Source organism: Homo sapiens, chromosome 3 (assembly GCF_000001405.40).
Source record: "Homo sapiens chromosome 3, GRCh38.p14 Primary Assembly".
In the NCBI taxonomy this organism is placed as follows: domain Eukaryota; kingdom Metazoa; phylum Chordata; class Mammalia; order Primates; family Hominidae; genus Homo; species Homo sapiens.
Window position 1 is genome coordinate 3090080 of NC_000003.12, and position 22329 is coordinate 3112408.

Sequence of the window (22329 nt, forward strand, 5' to 3'; positions counted from 1 at the left end):
ACCTAAACTTTCCAAACAAGTTTTTTGATAGGACTAAGATTATGTATTTAGCATAGTGCTTGGCAAAATAAATAAAAATTAAAAAACACATGTAATCTGCTATCCCTGCTGTTGTTTTTATTTCAGATACGGTGTGGGGCAGGAAAGCTGGATGTTATCTCCTTTATCTTGAGAACCCTAGGAAACAGAGAGAAATTATTTGTCTGGGGATACACAATCAATCCTTGTAAAGGCTGAATGTTAAACCTGGGCTTTCTATGTAAGGCTCCAGTCTTCTTCCCACCATCCCATGCTCTTATAGACCTAGTGCAACAGTTAACGACGTGTGTGTGCCTCCCCAGGCTGAATGGTTTATCATACACATGAGACGCACTAGTTGCTTTTTAACTGTTTCCTTCTCTCATACAATGCCTATGTTGACTTGCCGGAAACACCTGGATAATAGCAAACACAGGGTTTGAATTTTCTTTTTTTTTTTTTTCTTTTCTTTCTTTTTTTTTTTTTTGAGATGGAGTCTCACTCTATTGCCCGGGCTGGAGTGCAGTGGTGCGATCTCGGCTCACTGCAAGCTCCGCCTCCCGGGTTCACGCCATTCTCCTGCCTCAGCCTCCCGAGTAGCTGGGACTACAGGCGCCCGCCACCACGCCCGGCTAATTTTTTGTTGTTGTATTTTTTAGTAGAGACAGGGTTTCACCATGTTACCGAGGATGGTCTCGATCTCCTGACCTCGTGATCTGCCCATCTCGGCCTCCCAAAGTGCTGGGATTACAGGAGTGAGCCACCACGCCCGGCCAACACAGGGTATGAATTTTCTATCTTCAAGGTGCAATACCACATGTCCTGGGTGTGGAATTGACATCTGTGTCAGGGTAAGACTGGAAATGTGCCCCTTCATCCATAGCTGCCATTGGGTATATTATTATCCTTCATGGATCTCACTGACAGAGACGATGCCCATCTTACTTGCCAAGCAAACTAGTCCATTTGATCGTAACATAAACAGTTGCAGAGCTAACACAGGAGTCCCGGTGATGCATGGACCTCTTTATACTCTATATCTGCTAGGCTGAAGGCTCAGGGACAGATCCAGATTTTGTGGGACCCTATAGATTACACAGTTTTGGAATCTTCTTTTTTTAAAAAAGTATAAAGTCAAAATTAGGTATGGGAAAATCGAAGAGATGGAGAACAGACTACTCGTTGCCAGAGTTCAGGGATAGAAGAGAGGAGAGAGAGATGGGTGTATTTATAAAAGTGTAACAAGTGATGATGCAACTGCTCTGTATCTTGACTGTGGTGATGGGTACATGAACTTAAACATGTGCTAAAATTGCATAGAACCAAACAGACACATACAAATGAGGACATATGGCTCGGCACAGCGGCTCATGCCTGTAATCCCAGCACTTTGGGAGGCTGAGGCCGGTGGATCACCTGAAGTCAGGAGTTCGAGACCAGCCTGACCAACGTGGTGAAACCCTGTCTCTACTAAAAATACAAAAATTAGCCAGGCGTGGTGGCATGTGCCTGCAGTCCCAGCTACACGGGAGGCTGAGACAGGAGAATCGCTCGAACCCAGGAGGCAGAGGTTGCAGTAAGCTGAGATGGCGCCACTGCACTCCAGCCAGGGCGACAGAGCAAGACTCTGTCCAAAAAGAAACAAAAAAACAAACAAACAAATGAGGACATATAAAATTGATGAAATCAGTAAGATCTGGATTACCAACACCAATATTCTATTCCACTATTGTACTATAGTTTTGTAAGATGTTACCCTTGAGGAAAACTGGATGAAAGAGACACAGGATCTCTATTATTTCTTCCCACAGCTTGTGAGTGTGATAATTATTTCAAAATAAAAAGTTTAATTTAAAAAATGGATAGAAGTAGAAACAAAACTTGGAAAAAAAACAGGCACCAGGTCTAGGAGAGTTGGCGCTAATGAGAAGCCTAGACACTTAAAAACTTCACTGGCTTCATGGCAAATCTATTCCTGATTGAAAAGGCAGTAGACCGAGAGAAAATTAGTCACAATAGAGATATGAAACCATTTTAAGACCCACGAGTGAACGGGTACGTTTCTGGGATTACCTTTTTTGATCACAAGGAAGGCTGCCAATGTAAAATAAACATAAGCTACTTACCCACATAAATAGGTTGGCTCCACTCACTCCAGAGCCCTGCCTCTCTGCACATGGAGCTCACTGCTGCTCTCACTTGAACATCGTACTTAGAAAGATCATCAATTATTGAGATGAATGCATTGGTCATCAATTTTTCTATCTAAGTGGGGAAAGATAGCATTAGAAGAATCTCTAGACACCTAATTTAGTTCTGCCGATTATCAGAATGGGAGGTCCTATATAGGTCATGTGACTCACTGTTCAGCAAGTCCTTTAAAATCAACAGGGCACACATTAATTCGTTTATGCTAGGTGCGTTAGTGTGGATGTGTTGGCAGTCACCCTTCAGTGGAACGCTATCTTGTAACCAAAATATACGAAATGATCAACGGTCAAGATCCAGGTGTTCCTATCCAGGCCCAGCTGATGTTTCCAGACTGAAAGACTGGAGTGGCCTATGCTAGAATGCATTATTCCCTCACCTTGTCTCTCCATAATCTATAGTCACATTACTAAATAATGTCACATGAACGCTAGATTGTCTAGTGTTGAAATGAAGCTATTTTCTCATGAATGAGCCCTTCTTCTTTTTCCTTCTACTGATCATGGTCGCCACCATCCAGCTAGTCCCCTGTACCAGAGATGTGCTCCTGACACCTGTATCTTGAATACCCCCGGAGGTGTTTCTCCCTTTTTTACTCCAGCCCTGTGACCATTGCCTATTTTAGCTCTTATTATCTTTTGCTTGGACCTTTGCAGTAGCCGCTAACTGATATCATATGTCCATGTCGCCCCTCCCCACTCACATCCAGTTTTCATGCTGCTACCAAAAATCTTCTTTTACTCTGCAAATGTAGACATATTTCTCTATTGTGTAAAACTCTTCAGTGGCATCCATTGCCCAGAGTCATGGTTTTTAAAAAAGAAGCCACTTCTTTATTTTTTAGCAAAATCTTATAGAGCCACTCTGGGAGAAATCACAATGTCAGATACAGAGTCATGATTTCAGCATTGGTCTTATGTCCAGGCATCCAGGCAGACTGAATTACTTGCCACTTGACTGAAAGAACCATACTCTCTCAAGCATAAAGTTACTCCTTTTCCTAGGCTGGTGCAAGTCAGGAACTATTTATTACTGGCTTGTGATGGGCTAAATACAGATAAAATTATGACTGCAATTTGGAAGTTTTGATAGCAATTTGACATTGCCATGATATCCAAACACATGATCAGTGAACTGACACTTTACATGTCTTTGGCTATATTTAATTTTTTCTAGCAGATCATTTTTATTGTATTTGACAAAAGCACCAATCTATGGTAGATTAGACATTATAAAAACACACGCACACACACGTGCACACACAGTCCTTCAGTGTAAGTATTTTGGGAAGCTCTGGCTAAGAAAGTCCTTCTCATGTTTTCTCACCAGACTAGTTTCTCTTCATCCTTACAGATTCCGTTCAATTCCTCTCTGCAGAGCAGGCTCTGTGCCCACACCCCCATCTCTAGCTGTACTGGCTTTTCCTGTGGGAGGGCAACCCCAAGGCTGGGCAAGTATGTCACAAGATTGGGTCACTCCATGGCAGAAACAGTCTTATTTCTCACAAAGAAGCCAATTTGTAAATATTTGTTGAATCTAATTGAATTGGCTTTGTCTACTCTCTGTAAGACATAAGTTGGAATCCTATTTTTTTTCCTAGCTTTGTGACTGTGGGAGAGTTACTTCATCTCTTTTGCCTCACTTTCCTATAAAATGGGAATGGTAATTACATCATAGAATTATGTGAGGATGGAATAAACACATAATAAAGCTTGACACATAATTGATGCTCAAGAAATGTTGATTGGCTTTCTTCTCAGTTCCTTTCCCCTTGAAATTTTTGTCTATTAGTGCTAATGAGTTTTTTTAATTGTAAAATACATATAATGAAATTTACCATCTTAATCCTTTTTAAGTGTACAGCTTTGTGATATTAAATAGTTTCACATTGTTGTGTCACCAATGTTCAACACTCTTTTAATCTTGCAAAACTGGAACTCTGTACCCATTAAACAATACCTCTCCTTCCACCCTCCTACCAATTCCTGGTAACCACCATCCTACCCTGTTTCTATGAGTTTGACTATTTAACCTCATAAAAGTAGAATCAGACAGTATTTGTCCTTTCGTGACTGACTTATTTTGCTTAGCATAATGTCCTCAAGGCTCCTCCATGTGGTAGCATGTGTCAGAATCTCCTTCCTTTTAATGCTGGATAATATCCTATTATATGTATATGCTGCATTTTGCTTATCCATTCATTTAATGGGCACTTGGGTTGCTTCCAGCTTTTGGCTATTGTGAATAATGCTGCTATGGACATGGGTGTACAAACATCTCTTTGAATCCTTGCTTTCGATTCTTTTGTATATGTAATCAGCAGTGGAATTGTTGGATCGTATGGGAATTCTATTTCTAATTTTTTGAGAATTCATCATATCGTTTTTATAGTAGCTGCATTATTTTAGTTTTTTGTTTTTTTGTTTTTGTTTTTTTAGATGAAATGTTGCTCTGTCACCCAGGCTGGAGTGCAGTGGCGCCATCTCAGCTTACTGCAACCTCCGCCTCCCTGGTTGAAGTGATTCTCCTGCCTCAGCCCCTGCCCCCGAGTAGCTGGGATTATAGTCACGCGCCATCACGTTGGCTGATTTTTGTATTTTTAGTAGAGATGGGGTTTCACCATGTTGGCCAGGCTGGTCTTGAACTCCTGGTCTCAGGTGATCCACCCACATTGGCCTCCCAAAGTGCTAGGATTACAGGCGTGAGTCACCCCACCCGTCTATCATTTTAGATTTTAACCAGCACTAGTACCAATGAGTCTGTATCTAATCCTTTGTATTAGTTTCAACCAAAAGTATGTTCTTTCAAAACAAAAGGCCAGTAAGATTTGGTTTATATCTATTTGGTTATATCTATAATACCTGGGTAGATTAAGTTAACTTTGACCTTGTTAGTACCAAGCTGTAACTTGGTTGCAGTCACTGAAGATAATTTTTTAAATGTTTCTAAAACAAATGTCTGTTATCAAATATTGGAATAATCTGAGTAATTACCTGCAAATATCCATTCCTTGTATTGTGTATTTTTACTTCATAATCAAAGCAATGGATTGGAAAAGCAGACACTGGTTTCTCCCATTGGATAGAGAGACGAGTTCCTTCAATCTCTGCTGTGACATTCAGTGGAGGATTTATTTGATCTAAGTTAGGGAACGAAAGATCAGTGATTTTTTTTTTAGAATCAGTGATCAAAGCTGATAATTCCAATCCACCCACACTTCTCAAGGCATTTCTAAGATACGCTTTTTTCAAATATTTACCATCAGGTCTTAATCAACTGATCTCCAAGCCACAGGAAGCCGGTGGCCTCCCATAATACTCTTGTCTTATAGTGCTGAAGAAGAAGAGACCCTTTCTGGAAACTACAAGGATTACTACTCCAAATAGAGTTGAATGCTTGAATTACTTCCCCCCCTCAGCTCATTGCAAGACTCACCCACCATCCCCCTTTACTACTCAAGTTGTACCAGGCCCAGAATAAACCTGACCACTGAGAGAACATTTCCCTGGACCTTCCACCAAGCCTTGCCTCTTCCCAGTAGGTATGTGGCCCTGAACAAATCACTTCCCCTTTCTGAGATTCAGTTTTTAATTTTAATTTCATTTTGTTTACTGCGTCTTTTGGTTTTTGTTTGTTTGGGGGCTGGAGCAGGAAGCTTCAGTTTTCTTTTGCATCAAAAAGAATGGATTGGGGCAGGGCGTGGGGGCTCACGCCTGTAATCCCAGCACTTTGGGAGGCCGAGGCGGGTGGATCACGAGGTCAGGAGATCGAAACCATCCTGGCTAACGTGGTGAAACCCCCTCTCTACTAAAAATACAAAAAATTAGCTGAGCGTGGTGGTGGGCGCCTGTAGTCCCAGCTACTCAGGAGGCTGAGGCAGGAGAATGGCGTGAACCCAGCAGGCGGAGCTTGCAGTGAGCCGAGATCGCGCCACTGCACTCCAACCTGGGTGACAGAGCAAGAAATCTGTCTCAAAAAAAAAAAAAGAAGAAGAAGAAGAAGAAGAGTGGATTGGGCTAAATTTGTCTTTACTTAGGACTCTAATGTCCTTTCCCTTGAGATCTCACTTGATTGTCTTATGGTCCGGTGAGGTGAGGGGAAATGAATTCTTAATGAGTGTCCTTGTCTTAGGTAATATGACTTAGATCTCACAATTAATAGGGAAAAGCTAGGAGTGGGATCCACTGGCTTCAGAGCCTCCTATACCCTATGAAGAAAATTCTTAACCAAGAAAGTACTTATTTATTTTAGTAATCCTAGGAATCAGCCTCAATAAAATGAAAATCATAAAAGAAAAATGAATTCCTGTGGTCTGTACTAGATCATATCCATTTTCATATTAATATCATTGTTTCCTAGGTCTTCCTCGGCATCTTTTATTGCCTATTTTCATGAAAGTGACATTTTTAGTTCACCTAAGAAATATATTACTGGAGAGAATTGCATAACCTCTTTAGTAAGGGCTATGATTCTTTACACAAAGTTATATTCCATTGGATATAGATATGTCACAGCCAAATCATACCTTCTAAATAATATTGTAGTGTATTTATTAAACCTTTATGCCAGGCACTGTTCTAAGTGCTTTATCATTAGTAACACAATTCTCACGAAGACTGCACAGGAAGTATTGATTCCTCTCCATTGTTTCAGATAAGAAGATTAGGCACAAAGGAATGATCAGCTTGTCCAAGGTCACTCAGCCAGTGGTGGAGCCAGGATCCAAATCCAGGCAGTCTGGCCCCACAGCCCATAATAACCACCCACCATTGAAATCTGGAATCTCCATAACTAAGAATGCCATGTGAGAGCGCCTGATGAGTTTCACTAATAGAACTATCTGGGATGAGGGAGAGTGTCTTCTCTATTGAGAACTGAGCAGACAAAACCACGAATAGAATTTTTAGAGCTGAGAATTGCACACTGAGAGATATTCGAGCTGCAGAACATCCAGGAGATGGGCCAGAACAGTGAGAAATTCAGAGAGAGAGAGATGTTAGCCTGGGAGAAGAAGGGCTTCTGGATGGGAAACGTGCTGCCTGTGAACAGCTAAGAGAGGCTATTCTATAGGGAAGGGACTCAAATCACCTGGGGTGGCACTAGTCCATCACAGGACCCAGGGGCAGAAATTTCACAAAACCTGTCAGAACTCATGAAGGATTAAATGGTCTCTTTTAAGCAGCTAAATTCACTTTTTCTGGTGCAGTGATTCTCAACTGGGGGAAATTTTACCCCTTGAGGGGCATTTGGCAAAGTCTGAGACTTTTTTAAAAGTCACAGCTCAAGGACAGAGGGGCATACTACTGGCATCTAGTGTGTAGAGGCCAGAGATGCCGCTAAATATCCTACAGTGCCCAGCACAGCCCTCCATAACACAGAGTTGTCCAGCAAAACTCACTGGTGGTGTTGGAATGGAGAACCTTGCCCCAGTGGTTTTCAAACATGGGTCTGATGCTTACTTGGCATCAGAGAAGCAGTAAAACTAGGTGATCTTTATAACCCTTCCTTCCAGTGCTGAGATTCCGAGATTCAGTTATTTCAGCTTTGGGTTAAGTCGGTCTTACCAATGGCGTGAAGGGCAAACAGCTGATCAAAGGGCCTGATAGCAGAGTGCTTGCTGGAGCCGTTAACAAGCACCGCAAGCCAGTCACGCCCTTTGCTGAGGATAAAAGTCCTGGGAAACCAGCATGCGATATTTCTCCCCAGTGTGTCTTTGCTGTATTCTTGGCATTCTTCAGTCCAAGAGCCATACCTAAATTGGAACATTTACGAGTGTTATGAGGTTGCAGGAAACAACCATTTGCCTAAGTAAAAATAGGTACAGTACTAACCTATAGTAGAGAAAATACTGCGTGTCCTCAGGGGCATCTGTGCCAACAAGCCAGGTGCAGTGAAGGGAAACTTGGTATGACCTTAAACGTGAATAATTGTCTTCTGTAGTGTTTGTGGTGCAAGTTAAATTCACAATTGAGGTTCCAGGAGACCCTAGGTAGTCAAAAGTAAAAAGGACAAAACATTGCCATGGCAAACTCTGAATTTCATGCTTCTTTTGGAACTATAGTGATGTGAACGTCGTATTCATCACCAAAAAATAATCATCTTCACATTTTTTTTTCCCTTGAGACAGAGCCTCACTCTGTCACCCAGGCTGCAGTGCAGTGTTGCGATCTTGGCTCACTGCAACCTCTGCCTCCTGGCTTGGAGCGATTCTCGTGCCTCAGCCTCCCAAGTAGCTGAGATGACAGGTGTGTACCACCACACCTGGCTAATTTTTGTATTTTCAGTAGAGCTGGCGTTTCACCATGATGGCCAGGCTGGTCTTGAACTCCTGACCTCAAGTGATCCACCCACAGCCTCCTAAAGTGCTGGAATTACAGGCATGAGCCACCATGCCCGGCCATGATCACATATTTCTAGAAACCTACTAACTACAAAAGGCCAACTTACTGGAGATATGGAATTAGAATTATAAAGTCCCCATTTCTGATATTCGAGAGCTTCCCAGCTATTTTGTTTGGGGCCTGGGGGTGGTGTTTGTGCAATACATGTGTGGAAGTTCAAGAGAAGTACAATATATTGTCATTTTGAGGTTGATGTCCGGCAACTTTGGTGCTCTAATGCCACATTTGTTAATAACTAGCTGTGAGACATTGACCCCCACTCTTCTGGGCTCTGTGTTTTCAACTGTAAAGGAGCGGGTTGGTACAGGAAGGTCTTGCGTATCCCTTTCCATCCTAGAATTGTGTGATTCATTAGGTTGTATCCAAATTCTTCATGAATTACATAGGTTGCTGCTCAGAAGAAATGAGTTTTGACAACACTGCAAGATTGCAGACTTTGCAGACTTGATGCACATTAGCATGTTAAAGTCCTCTTTAATATACTAGGACTTGAAGAAAACCTTGAATTGGCCAGGCACGGTGCTCATGCCTGTAATCCCAGTGCTCTGGGAGGCCAAGGCGGGTGGATATCTCTTGAGCCCAGGAGTTTGAGACCAGCCCAGGCAACATGGTGAAACCTCGTCTTTGCAAAAAATATAAAAATTAGGTGTGGTGGCATGCACCTGTAGTCCCAGCACTTTGGGAGGCTGAGGCGGGCAGATTGTTTGAGCTCAGGAGTTTGAAACAAGACTGGGCAACATGGCAAAACCCCAACTCTACAAAAAATACAAAAATTAGCCAGGTGTGGCGGCATGTGCCTATAGTTCCAGCTACTCGGGAGGTTGAGGTGGGAGGATCACTTGAGCTGGGGAGGTCGAGGCTGCAATGAACCAAGATCATACCACTACACTCCAGCCTGGGCAACAGAGTGAGACCCTGTCTCAAAAAACAAAACCTTCAGATTTTATTTTATTTATTATTATTATTATTATTATTATTATTTGGAAACAGAGTCATTCTGTCACCCAGGCTAGAGTGCAGTGGCATGATCTCAGCTCACTGCAACCTCACCCTCCCGGGTTCAAGCAGTTCTCCTGCCTCAGCCTCCCGAGTAACTGGGATTACAGGCACGTGCCACCACACTCAGCTAATTTTTGTATATTTAGTAGAGACGGGGTTTCACCATGTTGGCCAGGCTGGTCTCGAACACTTAACCTCAAGTGATCTACCCGCCTCGGCCTCCCAAAGTGCTGGGATTACAGGCGTGAGCGACCGCACCCGGCCAAGATTTTAAATGCAACCTTTTTATGTTTGCTTCATTAAGGATTTCTCAAATTATGTGACTAGAAAGGCTTGTTTTCATTTCAACCTCTCGTTGCTGTATTAACTGTTGGTCTTTAAAATACACTGTGGGAAACACTGGCCTTGTTGGTGGTTGCTCAGAGAAGGAAACAAGCTCTTGCACCTGGGCCAGGAAGGACCGCATTCAAGTGGGAGCCTTGAGAGATAGAAGGGGGTCTTTTGATCGTAGCTTAAGTGAGCTGTAGATCATTTTTATCACTGTCAGCCAGTGTCTTTCAAGAAGCAGAGGGAGAAGATGATGAGAGAGAGCCTCTTATTACCTGTAGAGAAGTTAAAGATGGATTTCTTCTTCATATCTGTGCTTTTGCACAGACAAAAAGAAGAACTACCTCAAAGCAAATTGACTTATTCAGTTCATGTATATATGCATATATTAGGTTGATGTAAAAGTAATTGTGATTTTGGTCATTACTTTTGCACCAACCTAATATATATTTGTCCATGCATTAAATGACCAGAAAGTCCACACCCAAGTACACTTTAGAGATCCTGACAACTCTTTGTCTTATAGTTCTCATCCAAAGAATCATTTAAGTGAATTCCACTTGGTTCAAAACAGAAATAATTTTTATTAGTGTCATCCTGTATCAGAGTGTTCAGAGGATAATTAGAATTGTAGAAATGTAAGCTGCAAAGTGCCTCATAGGTAAAATCCAGTTGTTCATTATAGAAAGGAGGAATGGTGGTTTGACGTAAGCCACATACAATAACCCATCTCTGTGTTCCTGTATCTACCTTGGATTAGTCTCTGTACTTGGGATCAAGCCCATGCAAATTGGCTGGTATGTGGTCTAGACAAGTTATAACAAGTAAATGGGGCCGGACACGGTGGCTCATGTCTGTAACCCCAGCACTTTGGGAGGCCGAGGCGGGTGGATGGCTGGAGGCCAGGAGATCGAGACCAGCCTGGCCAACATGGCAAAACCCCATCTCAATAATAATAATAATAATAATAATAATAATAATAATAATAATACAAAAATTAGTCCAGCATGGAGGCGCATGCCTATAATCCCAGCTACTCGGGAGGCTGTGACATGAGAACCGCTTGAACCCAGGAGGCAGAGGTTGCAGTGAGTCAAGAACACACCACTGCACTTCAGCCTGGGCAACAGAAGGAGATTCTATCTCAAAAAAAAAAAAAAAAAGTAAATGAGAAGATCTTTATGTTTCTGTTTTAAGTCACTGACACAATTCAGGAGGTATGGTCTTTTCAGCTGGTGATATGACAAAATAGTCGTTTGAAAATTACCCGTGAGCTCAACTGACCAAGACAATGGTTATTGGGTGCACCCACATGTCCCAGGACTTGGTAGCCTGCTTCTCCTCTTTTCTCTCCCCTGTTGTGTGTGCACTTAAGTGTTTGATCAGAAGTATTACTGACTCTAAGTATCAGAAACACCAACTTTCCACTGGAGGCCAATGCAGAGACAGTGGATATTTCTGCAAGAATGTGCCAGATGGAATTCAGTTGGTTATGATAAGAAGTGGCAGCAGCCTTGGTTAGGATGTTGTTGATATGGGAGAGTACTTGAGAAGAACGGGTGACTGACTAAAGAAAAGTGGGTTAGTGTTAATTTTTCTACTTTTCCATATTTGCAAAGTCCAAAACATACAAACTGGACTTTTGGAGGCCTGCTTTACCTGGTGGGGCATGAAGTTCAGCAGAAGCCCAGCTGCTGGCCAGTAGTGAGTGGTCGTTCTGCAGGATGGTCCGCACACTTGCTGAAAAGCCTTTGTGGAGGATGGTTACACATTTGCTTTCAGTGATTCTGGTTTCATACTAAAAATAAAACCCACAAGTCATGATACATAAAAGAGAACTAGACTTAAGAGAGCTATTTTAATCAAATATGCATTTTCTTCTACTTTTTAAATGATTAGTAAGATGCAATGAAATAGTTTTGCTAGAAAAAAAGTCAAAACAAAACCATTGTAATAACAACATAGTAATTTCTCAATGACACATGAACGCATTATTCTTGTAAATACAAGCGAAATATTACAGTTAAACTCAAGTTCCCTTTGAGCACCATCTCCCCAGAGGTCAATGTCGGACAGAAAATTCTCTAGAATTCCATATTGACTGAAAAATAGTGAATATGAATCACTTCTCCCTTTGTTTGACTTTATTGCACACCTAATATGTAGCAGGTGCCTGAATGTAGCCCCGAGGTAAAACTGAGGCTCTGAGAAGCTAAATGACTTGTCCCAGGTTGCAAAGGCAGGAAGTGGAAGAACTGGGTTTTGAACTTAGTTTCCCTGACTCTCCACTCTGCCTGCTCACTTCTTGTTTTACTAGGCTACTGTCTCCTGTTCTGTTGGTAATTTTATGGGAAACAGAAAACCAGTACCCAATCCATGGTGCCTAAAAAGTTACTAAACATTCTTCCTTAAGGGAAAGAATCATCCAAAAGTTAAAATATTCTGTGATGCTGTTTAACGCTGAACAATACACCCGGCGCTAGCTCACAGGCATTCTTAGAGAGACACTATTCTACTGGTAACATAACATAGAGCCTGTCAGTAATTTTATTTTTTTAATCCAAAATTTTATTTGATAAAGAAAATGCAGTCAAAATGCATATTTATTCTCAATAAGGATATCCATTAGAATAAACACTTACGTCATCTTCTTTTGGAGCGTTTATTTTCACTTGATATTCTAGATTAACATTCCTTTGCTCTTGATCAGGATTTGGTTTCCATTGTAAAAGAACTTGAGCCAAACCAGTAACTTTAATGGTGAAATTGACAGGTGGGAGAAGTGAAACTGTTGATTCAAAGAATAAAGAAACAACACAATGTTCAACTGGACATAGGCAGCACTTTTAAAACTTTTCGAATATTTATTGCCCTGCAGATGCTGTCCTGGACCTGCCAGCACCACAGACACAGTTGCTCCTGCGTGCCTGTAACACCGGGGCAAAGAGAAAGTGGCTATTTCTACCCGAGTAGCTGGGACTACAGGCGCATGCCACCATGCTGGGCTAATGTGGGTTTTTTGGTATTTTTAATAGAGACAGGGTTTCACCATGTTGGCTAGGCTGGTCTTGAACTCCTAACTTCAAATGATCTGTCCGCCTCAGCCTCCCAAAGTGCTAGGATTACAGGCATGAGCCACCACGCCTGTCCTAGAAGAGGTTTCTTCAAAACTGTTTTTAATATCTTTTTTACGTTGCCCATGTCCAGGTGTTTACCTATAATACCTATATTTTTATTGAAATATGAACATGTTACTATATCACTATTCACTATAACCATAATTTTCAAACTGAGAGTCATTATCCATTAACAGGCAATAATAACAATGTATTGGTTTGTGACCAGAATTTTTGTTTTAGTAATGTGGAAGAAAAATAGAATAGAAAATATCAGTGTGCATCAAACATAATAAGAGCTGTTTCATGAATCTCGTTTCCACTACATAAAGGTAGTTATATATTTGTATGTGTGCTGGTACATAATGTAAAAATGTATTTACCTCTTATTATGAGTCACAGACAAAAATATTTGCAAGCAAACTTACTTAAATAGGGCTTTACAGAAAGAAAAGGTTTCTTCCCCCTGCATGAGCCATTCTCTGACTTTGCTTTCAAAATTAAAGCTTTTGTTTAATTACAAAATCAATATCTGTTTATTGAAGAAATTTTGGAAAACACAGATAAGCAGAAAGAAGAAAATAAATTTTTTAAAATAATTGTACCACTAAGAATGGAATTAACATATGATATATTCGTTATGTTTTTTTCTGGGCGTATATTTATGCAATTTTTAATTTTTTTTACCACAATTAGGACGGTATTGTACACACAACTACAAAACCTTCTTTTATTCATTTACTAAGTTATCAGGATTTATCCATTGACCTTAACGGACTTCCACACCTCTACATCCATGTTTACCACATGAGGACTTTTAGAGCTCTGTCTATATTGCATTGTCCATTACGGTAGCCACTGGCAACTTGTGGCTATTGAAATTTTATTTAATTAATCAATTAATTTTTGAGACAGAGTCTCACTCTGTTGCCCAGGCTGGAGGGCAGTGTTGTGCGATCTCAGCTTATTGCAACCTCTGCCTCTCAGCTCAAGCTATTCTCCTGCTTCAACTTCCCAAGTAGCTGAGATTACAGGCATGTGCCACCACACCTGGCTATTTTTGAATTTTTAGTAGAGTTGGGGTTTCACCATGTTAGCCAGGTGGGTCTCAAACTTCTGACTTCAAGTGATCCACCTGCCCCGGCCTCCCAAAGTGCTGGGATTACAGGTGTGAGCCACTGCATACGGCCTAAACTAATTTAAATTCATTACCTTAGTTGCACTATCCATATTTCAAGGGCGCAATAGTCACATATGGCTAGTGGCTACTGCATTGGACATTAGAGAGATACAACATTGTCATTACCATAGATAGTTCTGTTGACAATGCTAGACTGGGACCATGTGATGATTTTCCTTAAACTCTGTCATCACATCAAATACATAACATCAGCAGATTTCAGGACAAAATGCAGTGGAAGTTTCTTAACGTTTGGTCATGGGGCCTTCTAACTACTCCCTTGTGTGAGAAGACATTCCAAATGCGACCACTGGCGCCAGCTTTATTCCATGGTGCCCGGACACCCACACTTTGACTTTGATTTCCCACTGTAGCATAACATTTGCATTTCAGCCAACATTGCTTTCTTAAAATATGGCATGTTTAAAGCATCTGTCTTCTGATGGGGATAAATATTGTCTCATAAAAATCCATATATAATGTTCTAATCGACAGTTTAAGAGGAAATAATGTTATCCTTTTACTAACATATTTTTAAAAATAAACATTATTGAATTGAATAGAAGGTCCTTACTCTTTTCATCAGGAAGTAAGTCAGCTTGCAGTATCTCAGTGGCCCCCAAAAGGATGAGTAATACATGCGCCACGATGATCATATCCTACAGAAAACAAGGGAGATACCAAAATCATCTTGTTGCTATTTTTAAGAAAAACTGATAGCTGCTTTCTAACATAAAATGCAGTCGTTTGGCCATTTAACAGACATTTATGGCATATTTGTTATGCGCAAAAAGTACAAACATGACCAAATGTTGGACTTTGCCCTTCCAATGTAGATTCATAGTTTGAAGGACAGAATGAAATATAAATTGATAAATGTAAACCAGTTGAAAAACTGCCTCAGTAAAGGTGTGTATGGGGTACAATAGGAGCAGAGACTTCTGATTTGCCATCTAAAGGGTGAACTAGAGTCCTTGACGCACACAACAGGGAAGAGACATGCCTGGTGGAACCCAAGGTATGTGCAAAGCTGGAAGAGAAGGAAACAAATAGGAAGGGATTGCTTTTCGACAAGAAACCAGAGCAGATCTTTGAATAGCAGAATTTCTAGCATAGTCAGCAAAAGAAATAAACATTACCTTTTTCACTATGAGGATTTAAAGATGAGTGAACATGACAGGAAACTTCAATCTAAAACAATCTGTAGCCTAAGAGAAACTTTGTATCACCAATCCAGAATCAACTTGTGGTACTTTGAAGAGTGTTTTTTTTGTTTGTTTGTTGATTTGTTTTGTTCCCCCCCCCACCCCGCAAAGGGAGCGGATCACAAAAGAATTGAAAAACACAGTGATAGACCTGGGGAAAATAAAGACAGTATTTCTATGTCCTTGAAACAATTGGGCAATGAGAAGGAATCTAGAGCTGGAAATGTGATAACCCAGTGTGAACACACACAAAAGTCTCGGCATCCTGTTCTACATGTCAAAGAGGAGAGTCGGTGATCTCTTTCTGGGAACTGTAGATGAGAAGTCTTGAGTTTTTCTTCTGCACATTTTGAAAGGCATATTTCATAAGAACTTAACTTTCAAGGGCAAATAACACGCATGGCTTCCCCCTGTGTTGTCCTCACTTTTACAAAGGAGTTCTTCCTACTCTCTTACCACGTGCTCCCCCCAGAGATTTGGTACCAGACACATGTGGCTGTTATACATGATGGAAATCCCTTCCATGGACGTTATTCCTACCCATGAAGGAAAGGAGTCTGAAAGCTGAAATAATCTGCCAAAGATCAAACAGCTGTTAAGTAATGGAGCCTAGACCCAATCTCTGATCTTCCAATGGCAAAACCTATGCTCTGTCAACTTTATGGTACTAATTACAATGATTTATAATTTCATTTAAAACATTTATTTAAGTGGCTTGGTATTTTCCAAATATAATTCCAGTAGAACCACAGGAGAGACCTGGGCTAAATGAATACCTCCAGGAAATAGCACAGAACACTCTTAACTTCATTATTACTTCTTAAATTATTACTTAAGTTGCTACAATTACTGCTGAACTTACTAATGAAATTGGTAAAATGCCAAAACAGCAGGAAAGGATCGGCATATAAATCACTCAATTCCTTGTCAAATAAGCTTAAGTACTGTTAATCAGAAGTATGCCAGTTTTGATTTTAAAATCCTGTTTATTTTTCTCTGAGGATTTCACACCATGTAGAAATTAAAAAAAAAATGAAACGATGACGATGACAACAAAAGCAGGTACTCTATAATTTTTTTAAAATTTTCAACAAGTGAGAATTTTAATGAATTAAGGGAAAACACTAGTAATCTACTAAGCCTGAGAAGCAAAGATAAAAATTCCTTAAGAACAGCAACAAAGATAGCTTCCTCTTTAAGTTATGAAGGTGATTTCTTAAAATGTCAGCATTTCCTGAAATAATATTAAATATGCTCTGATTTTGCACTAATTTTCAATAATAGGAATTCTAGGTCAGAAAAAACTGCAAAATTAATATTTCTTTGTGACTTTCACTGACTGGCAAAGTAAAACTATGTTATAAATGTACTTGTAAAAGCAATAAACATGTATTTATCCTTTGCAATTAAATTGTTGAAGTAAATGATAAAACTGTTGAATATCTCAGTGGAGAGATAATTGAATATTTTATATGAGCAAGCACTCTCCCCTAGAATTTGTCATGTATTCTGATTTTATAGCTGCTAAAAATAGAATTGTTTTTCAAATTTAATCATTCAAAAAATTTTTGATTATTAGTTTTTGGCCATAAATAAATAGACAGCTTTTTCATGTCTCATTGTCATATTTAAAAAGAGGTGCTTTTGAACAAAATCAGTTGTCCTATAGGCAGCACAAGGTACTCAGTAGGGGTCTAAATATTAAAAAGAATGACATTTTTTTTTTTTTGTGAGTCAGATAAATTTTACATAAGGTTGAATAGTACTAGAGCTTCAGGATTTGATACCATGTTTTCTACAATTCTGCTCACTCTCTGTGGCCCCTTAATACTTCTTGTCCCTGCTTAAAACAACAACAACAACAGCAACAACAAATCTCTTCAGGCCATTTCTTTAATCCAAAGATACACTGTTATGTAGATGTCAACTGGGTCATATTTCACTATAAAAGAATAGAGCGACTTCATTAGCTTAAACATATATATCGACAATATGTTCGACTCATTCTTCTCATGGCTACCAATTAAAATCTAGCAGAAAACCATTAAATTGTTAAAATAAGATGCAAACTAAGCAGAATGAAGCAACTATAGGTTGTTTATCTATCACCAGGAAGACATGCTCAATCTTTAAGAGAAATCATGATCTCATGATCTACTTGCTCATATAACATTTCATTGAGTCAATCTAAAATTCCTCAAGTGCTCTCTAAAAATCTAGTTTCTGATAGGTGTTACATTTTTTGAAATTTTGGAGAAAACAACCACAGTCTCCTTCCCTATAGGTGTTTCTAGGAAGTTTGGTAAAATTTTGACAATTAGCAGTGGATTTCCCCAGCGTTCTTGAGAACTGGTCAAATTCTACTGAAGTTCAGACTTACAAATATTTTCCCCTCTTTTTTTTCCCAACTTATTTTTCTGCCTGGGGCGTTCGTTTTATAACCAAAGTTATACTGGCACCCCTGTTTTTAAAACCTTTTTGAGTCAACTGTGGTAACACCTAATTCCAGACTCAACCTTAGTGGCAGAAATTGTAAAGCAACTGAGAGGATTCATGCTCTGGTAGGCTTTTAAATATGAAGAGTTTACTTTCTCTTTTATCCTGTACAGTATAATCAGCAATAAAAGTTATCTCTTGGGGGATGAAGAATAAACCAAGGTATAAACTGCAAAAGACATGTTTACCTAGGTATATTGCATTACCCCCCAATGAAAAACTGCACATTCCTAAATATATAAATGAATAATAAGGACCACTTATCATGCATGCAATTTTTTTTTACTACTACTGTACTTTTGATTAAATTTCTGAAATAGTCCTAAAATAGAACTCATGAGTTCAGGTTGTGGCTGTAAACATAAAACTCTCTGTCAGTCCAAGTGGAAATGGTGTTGCCACCTTGAGTATTTGGAAAAATAGAAGAAAGAGTTTGCTACAAATATCCCAGTAGCAAAATATTTCCTGCCAATTGCACATGGTGCAATTTGTCATCTCACATCCATGCTCCTGGGCGTACCTGTCTACAGACGATCCTCTTGTTCCGACCAGTACTCAACAGAAGATGGCGAGGACCGTGTCTGTCGTGTCTATGCTCGTGGCTGCAACCCCAGCATCTAGCATAGCGTCAGGCACAGGACCAATGCTCAATGTGCCTGGCCCTGTGTGGAATAGAAGCAAATTAGTGCACAGCCCTAATGTGCAATGTGCGGTGAAACCTAACAGAGGAATGAGTTAGGTCAGGAGAGCAGCAGGCTGGGGAGTGTGTAACAAGCCTGGCCCACTTTTGGTATTTTGCCTAAAAATTTCCCATGCGGTGTTTCAAATAATATAAACAAATGAGGTGATTTAACTTCTAAAACTTTATTTTGCTTTGAAATGCAAACTTTTAACAAATAGCTACATAAATTCCTTTTTCGATAACCATGAAAGAGGACATATTCACTTAAAATAGAAATCATGCCAGGTAATAAAATGTTCAGTATGGTAATTCATTAAAGCAAGTACTAAGTACATTATTCACATGGCTATAAAAGCACCATCACTTTTCATGTGTTTATTAATTTTAGGCTCAAGGGTATTAAAATATTCTCGCTCTGTCTCTCCTTTTTCCCCCTTTTTTTTGGTTCCATTTCATCCTTTTTTCTGTCTACATGGAAATATGCTTACCTTGCTTTAGGTAAATACATTAGTGAACACAAAACCAAGTGACATATTTCAGCAAATTTGGGTACATTTTATATACAATGAAACAATCTTGGAAATCCAAGAACCCCTACCAGAAAGAAAAAGCAGAACGCCTCCTTCAGTTAGATAAAGTGCCTCTCTCTACTTTTTGTTGTTGTTTCTTTATTTGTAGATTTCTTGCTTAACTCTGAAACTTCCTGAGATATTTTATTAAACCCTATACCCTATTTTGGAAGCTCATTTATTTTCTAAGAAATCTTGGCAGAATATATGTTCTCATTTTAATTGCATAATTATCTGGAGCGGTGGAAAACAGATGTCTTATATTGATGTAAGCACTAACAAAACCATAGGTGTTGTTTTCATATGACTCACCTTGCCACGGATTTGCACATCTCACTTACTGAGCCAAAACACAAGAATAGAAGGTTATACCCAGAATCAACATGACCTGCCTAATGATGCAAGTTTAATGGGACCATTATTAGTTCTGTCCCTGCTAATAATAATAGAATTATAAGGAGTTTTGTTTCCCCTTTTTGTTGTTTACAAGTTTGTCATATATTTAGAAGTCATTGTTTCTTGCTTTTCCTAACCCTCCTCCCCACCCTGGGTGTAGTGAAATTATTAGGAGGTGGAGCACAGGGTATTGTTACAGCCCATGTCATAGAAAAAAGATATTTATTTGCTTACTCTGTGGTGAGTGAAGCATTTGATTCCCACTTACTGAGAAATGCGGTGGCCATGCGATGAGAAGCAGCGGCAGGGCATTGAGAACGAACCTTATCTCTGGGTGCACTTTTTAACTTAGAGGCGGTTCTTCACTCTTTCATCATCACGGCTGTAATGGTTAAAAACTCTCAGGCAGCTTCCTTCATGATGGGATGGCAACACGTTTTCTCTAAGCAAATATGGAGGAGGATTTGTACAGAGCAACTGTGCAGGAGCTGAACTGGAACTCCCAACAACCAAACTGCTGTCAAACGAAAGAATCTCTCGTCCAGATAGCCATTATCTGATAACTGTCTTGTCTGCATTTTCACTCTCTTTCAGAGTTGGTTTGCTCTCTTCAGGAGTGGGAATTAACTTTTACTCATGGTGACAAGGTAAACAAGTTTTCCGTGGGTACTCTAAAGCGTTGCATTTCTGTTTTGTTTATGTGCCTTGTTTGGCTACAGTAGTTACTGTGCCTCTGTCTCCTAGGCAACACTGACACATGATTTGATAGGAAGTAAGGCCTGAGGAGTACCCTCTCCCCACTCACTAGGCAATAGCAGCAATTCTCTGCCCTTAGAGAACCGCCTTAGCTCTTCTCTGCTTTGTGAGCAGGTCTGGTACCCTCAAGTAAATATGTGTGGGGGATGCGTTTCTGGGTGTGATAAATTGCTGCTGTCTGTCACCTGAGATCATCCTACACAAATTGTAACAATGGCAGTGTTGGTCTGTGGGTGCACCCAAGACCACCTTCCTCACGTCACATCCATTTTACCACCCAGCTGTCTTCAGAATGCTTCAATTTCAGCAAACCTCCTTGGCTTTTCCTGTCCTTTGTTCCATTTCTGTTTGATTCCTTCTGGGGAATTTCGAGGTGGCTAGCTAGCAAAGCTGGCTTTAAAAAAGTAGCTTAGCGTGTGAATAGATAAGAGTAGTGCTTATTGTATGACCCACGGCAGAGAGTAGTAAGTAGTTGCCTTTGGAAGGAGACCTTCAGTCTAGCCTAAGCGATGAGTGATGCAGGATTCCCTGTCTCCTTAGGAGCTGACTGGGAGAGTCTCAGACAGAGCAGATGCAGAAAGATGGTGGCCCAGGTTGGATCAGTGGTTCTGTTTGTGAGATGAGAGACAGGCTTCCTGGAGGCAATTTCCAAAAGGCTCAGTGTAGAAGCTGTGCAAGTACAGTCAGCGTGTGTGCCTGGGGTTCCCAAGGTGACCATTTTAGCAGTTGCCAAAATGAAACCGGAGCAATTGTTATCAGGTTGAAAATTGTTGTCAGACCTGAAAAATGTGATTTTCCTCGGGGAAAGGGGAAGTAAAACAAGGAACAGAGAGAGATCCATTTATTTGCTAAGAGGCACCCAGAAAAGTTTAGATATAGTATCAACTATCTGGCCTACTCTTTTAAGTCCTGCCCATCTGTTTATACATGTAACATATTTGTCACTAATGAAACCTTAAAAATACTTATTAATCATTGGGAAGACAGTAATTTCTGGCTTAAAAGCCTGCTTTAATGGCCTCTCTCCGTATATATATATGTATATTTTTTGAGATGAAGTCTCACTCTGTCGCCCAGGCTGGAGTGCAGTGGCGCAATCTCTGCTCACTGCAACCTCTGCCTCCCAGGTTCAAGCGATTCTCTTGCCTCAGCCTCCCGAGTAGTTGGGATTACAGGCACCCGCCACCACGCCTGGCTAATTTTTTGTATTTTTGGTAGAGATGGGGTTTCACCATGTTGGCCAGGCTTGTCTCAAATTCCTGACCTCAAGTGATGCACCCGCCTTGGCCTCTTAAAGTTCTGGGATTACAGGTGTGAGCCACCACACTCAGCCAATGGTCTGTATATTTCTTACATTCATTTACTCAAATATTCATTGAATGCACCTATGCACTATGCTAGGCGCGGTGAAGGGTATAAAGAAAATTAGATCTGGCTGCTCCTTCCATACCACCTTCCTGGGTATATGATCTTTAATTAACTACGCCAATAAAAACAAACAAACAAACAAAGCAAACACATGCTCATACAGAAACACTGTCTCTATGTTTCTGTATAAGCACAAACGAAAAAATGAGAGGCAGGGACTTTTTTTTTTTCTGGCGGGGGGTTGCGGGGGGGTTGTTTGTTTGTTTTGAGATGGAATTTCAGTCTTGTTGCCTAGGCTGGAGTGCAATGGCGCGATCTCAGCTCACCACAACCTCCACCTCCCGGGTTCAACCGATTCTCCTGCCTCAGCCTCCTGAGTAGCTGGGATTACAGGCCCCCGCCACCACACCCAGCTAATTTTTTTGTATTTTTAGTAGAGATGGGGTTTCACCACGCTGGTCAGTCTGGTCTTGAACTCCTGACAGGTGATCCACCCACCTCGGCCTCCCAAAGTGCTGGGATTACAGACGTGAGCCACTGAGCGAGGCCTGTTTGGTTTTTTATGGCAATAATTTAATTCTTTATAATAAAGTGTAAACGTCCAAAGA

At 40.4% G+C, this 22329-nt stretch overlaps 1 protein-coding gene across 9 annotated transcripts in view, besides 2 other annotated features; it reads right to left on the reverse strand.

Moving 5' to 3' along the window:
• IL5RA (interleukin 5 receptor subunit alpha) overlaps positions 1-20295 on the reverse strand; it is a 44051-nt gene extending 23756 nt beyond the window's left edge. For 3 of the 9 annotated variants that reach the window (NM_001243099.2, NM_175726.4, XM_011533677.2), the window contains exons 1-9: positions 19866-20295; positions 18471-18612; positions 14824-14908; positions 12596-12741; positions 11613-11751; positions 8058-8211; positions 7791-7978; positions 5220-5365; positions 2145-2283 (exon numbers count right to left, since the gene is read on the reverse strand). In NM_001243099.2, the coding sequence (NP_001230028.1) occupies positions 2145-2283; positions 5220-5365; positions 7791-7978; positions 8058-8211; positions 11613-11751; positions 12596-12741; positions 14824-14905 (994 nt within the window). In that variant the 5' untranslated portion in view covers positions 14906-14908; positions 18471-18612; positions 19866-20295. Of the gene's footprint in view, positions 1-97; positions 178-1730; positions 2284-5219; positions 5366-7790; positions 7979-8057; positions 8212-11612; positions 11752-12595; positions 12742-14823; positions 14909-15388; positions 15458-18470; positions 18613-19865 lie in introns of those variants that run through there. The other 6 variants (NM_175725.3, NM_000564.5, NM_175728.3 and 3 more) reach the window with 6 other exon arrangements.
• Positions 19461-19580: a silencer, noted in NCBI's record as "silent region_14008". NCBI's record gives its function as "represses an Ori minimal core promoter by ATAC-STARR-seq in GM12878 lymphoblastoid cells {active_cell/tissue: GM12878}" and the evidence as "EXISTENCE:reporter gene assay evidence [ECO:0000049][PMID:35858748]".
• Positions 19661-19740: an enhancer, noted in NCBI's record as "active region_19343". NCBI's record gives its function as "activates an Ori minimal core promoter by ATAC-STARR-seq in GM12878 lymphoblastoid cells {active_cell/tissue: GM12878}" and the evidence as "EXISTENCE:reporter gene assay evidence [ECO:0000049][PMID:35858748]".